The sequence below is a fragment of the Homo sapiens genome, chromosome 13 (genome assembly GCF_000001405.40).
Source record: "Homo sapiens chromosome 13, GRCh38.p14 Primary Assembly".
Lineage (NCBI taxonomy): Eukaryota > Metazoa > Chordata > Mammalia > Primates > Hominidae > Homo > Homo sapiens.
In genome coordinates this window covers 64,956,887-64,960,404 of record NC_000013.11, presented here as the reverse complement: position 1 = coordinate 64,960,404, position 3,518 = coordinate 64,956,887, and the positions used below count along the sequence as shown (strand labels likewise).

The window sequence follows — 3,518 nt, the reverse complement described above, 5'->3', positions numbered from 1 at the left end:
ATGGAAAGAGAAATATGAGTTTTTTCAAAATGTGGCTTGAAAGAGAAGTTAAGAGAAACTGAGAATAAGTCCATAAGTTTCAAAATCCATCTAAGAAATAGTAGAAAAAAAAAGACCCAAAGCTCCTAAGAAGGGGGAAGGAAAAGAGAATATTTGAAGAAAATATAATCCAATACTTTCTATAAAGAAGATTTAAAAAGCATTATTCAGAATAAAAGAATACCAATAGTCAACAGAGATTAAAAGAAAAAATACCTACACATAAACACACTGTAATGAAACCTTGAACATTTTATTTAAGGGGCCATTTCAAAAGACCACCAAAAGAGAGTTAAATTTCTTTTAATGAAAGATACCAGATGTTTCCTAGAACTGACAATTTCAGGAAGAATAAATGAGAAATGACTTTAAGGACAATATTTGACTGAGACTTGTATAGAGATTTAAGTTCAGAAATTTTCTGACATACAAGGACCCAGAAATTTATCATACATATAGGCTTTTTGACAGAATAACTAGAGAATGTCATACATCAGAAAGGAAATCTCAAATGATACAATGCAACTGAAAAAATAGGAAACAAGTATAAGTGGATACATTGTTTGTGTGTTAAAATTAAAAAAAAAAATAAACTGAAGGCAAATAAAAGGTTGGAAAACAACTGACCACAATTTTCAAAAAGTACTGTCAAGGAGAAACAAGAACTATGCCACATTTACTGTAAATAAGTGCAGAAAGTACAATAAGATTTTATTAGATTCGGCAAACTAAATACTTCCAACAACTTTCCCATGATGCAAAATTCCATTGTATTTGCTTGGATATATTTTATCTGAGAATATTATGCTGCACTGTTACATTATTTTCCAATTTATAATTAAGATTTTTCTCACGGTCCCGCTGCCGCCACCACCGCGGTCACTCGGCACCGCGGCTGCCACTGCTGCCACCACTGCCACCACGATCGCTTATCACAGGTTTCTGCAGTTGAACTCCAAAGTGCAGAAGGCTTTGGAAAGTAGCTGTATTCCTCAGCGTGGCACTGGGCACTGGTGCTGTTCCCATAGATGATCCTGAAGATGGACGCAAGCACTGGGTGGTGATCGTGGCGGGTTCAAATGGCTGGTATAATTACAGGCACCAGGCAGCTGCGTGCCATGCCTACCAGATCATTTACTGGAATGGGATTCCAGACGAGCACATCATTGTTATGATGTACGATGACACTGCTCACTCTGAAGACAATCCCACTCCAGGAATTGTGATCAACAGACCCAATGGCACGGATGTCTATCAGGGATTCCCGAAGGACTGACTACACTGGAGAGGATGTTACCCCACAAAATTTCCTTGCTGTGTTGACAGGCGATGCAGAAGCAGTGAAGGGCATAGGAACCGGGAAAGTCCTGAAGAGCGGTCCCCAGGATCATGTATGTGTTCGTTTACTTCACTGACCATGGATCTACTGGAATACTGGTTTTTCCCAATGAAGATCTTCATGTAAAGTACCTGAATGAGACCATCCATTACATGTACATACATAAAATGTACCAAAAGATGGTGTTCTATATTGAAGCCTGTGAGTCTGGGTCCATGATGAACCACCTGCCTGGTGATACTAATGTTTATGCAACTACTGCTGCCAACCCCAGAGAGTCGTCCTACACCTGTTACTATGATGAGAAGAGGTCGACGTACCTGGGGGACTGGTACAGCGTCAACTGGATGGAAGACTCGGACGTGGAAGATCTGACTAACCAGACCCTGCACAAGCAGTGCCGCCTGGTAAAATCATACACCAATACCAGCCACATCATGCAGTACGGAAACGAAACGATCTCCACATTAAAGTGATGCAGTTTCAGAGTATGAAACACAAAGCCAGTTCTCCTATCTCCCTGCCTCCAGTCACACACCTTGACCTCACCCCCAGCCCTGATGTGCCCCTCATGATCGTGAAAAGGAAACTGATGAACACCAACGATCTGGAGGACTCCAGGCAGCTCACAGAGGAGATCCAGCGGCATCTGGATGCCAGGCACCTCATTGAGAAGTCAGTGCGCAAGATCGCCTCCTTGCTGGCAGCGTCCGAGGCTGAGGTGGAGCAGCTCCTGTCTGAGAGAGCCCCGTTCACGGGGCATAGCTGCTACCTGGAGGCCCTGCTGCACTTCCAGACCCACTGCTTCAACTGGCACTCCCCCACGTGCGAGTATGCGTTGAGACATTTGTACGTGCTGGCCAACCTTTGTGAGAAACCGTATCCGCTTCACAGGATAAAATTGTCCATGGACCACGTGTGCCTCGGTCGCTACTGAAGAGCTGCCTCCTGGAAGCTTTTCCAAGTGGAAGCACTCCCCCGAATGTGTGCTAATCAGAGACTGAAGAGGTGGAGTGAGAAGTCCCCGCTGCTCCGGGCCCTCCTGGGGAGTCCCCACTCTAGGGCTCGCTCCAGGACCTTCCTCACAGGATGACTTGCTCGCTGTTACCTACTTCCCCAGTCTTCTCTGAAAACCTACAAATTGGAGTGGGGAAAGCTCTGTATTGAGAAGGGTCATATTTGCTTTCTAGGAGGTTTTTTTGTTTTGTTTTTGTTTTGCCCATTAGTTTTAAGGAGCAGGAAGTTCATGGGGGCTTCTGTAGCCCCGCTCAAAAGGAGTCTTTATTCTGAGAAATTTGAAGCTGAAACCCCTTTAAATCTTCAGAATGATTTTATTGAAGGGGGCCGCAAGCCCCAAATGGAAAACTATTTTTAGAAAATATTATGATTTTTTATTGCTTTTGTATTTAGTTCTGCCAGTGTTCAAGTACTAAAAAATAAAGATTTATAACAGAGTCCCACCAAAATAAAATAAAATAAAATAAAAAGTTTTTCTTCCTTTTATGGAAAAAAAAAAACACTTACTTTATAGTAAACTCAAATTGCTTTTTTTGAGAGTCAAGCATTCCATTCTTGACAAAGTTTTGGATTAATAGGATGTGTTTTGTCATTACCTGATCTTACAACTTATTCTCAGATTCAGTGACTCCATTTTAGTATGCTGGATATTTTAAGCTATTGTTTGACTGGCTACCCTGTGTCTGCTCTGCATAGTTGTCTTAATTTTAGTTTCTAAACATATTTTCCAGGTAGTGACAAAATATGTGAAGGAATATGTGAATTAGGTTCTGCTCAGGTAGACTGGCTTTAAATGATCATTTTAGCAATGATGGAAGACAAGTTTTGGGGTCGTGTTTTGCTTTAAGTCTTACCTAAATATTATCTCCTATCGAAGGGAAGAAATTACACTTGATGTTTACAGGTATGTAAATAAAAAGTCTTAAAACATGTTCCTAACATGTGAATAAAGCTTATTTTCTGTTTTCATCCCTCTTAAGTATTTTATGGTTACCAGAAATCAATGTCATCAGTGATAGAGTGACAGAAATAACGTAAGTGTGTTAGAAAACTAGGGGTCACTTCTGTGATTCTACTGATCCGTGAGTGCTATTAAGAAGGTTCCTCAGTGTCCTATATTGTG

The 3,518-nt window shown here is 41.2% G+C and overlaps 1 pseudogene; it reads left to right on the top strand.

The window, feature by feature from the left end:
- Window positions 887-2,844, top strand: LGMNP1 (legumain pseudogene 1; annotated as a pseudogene).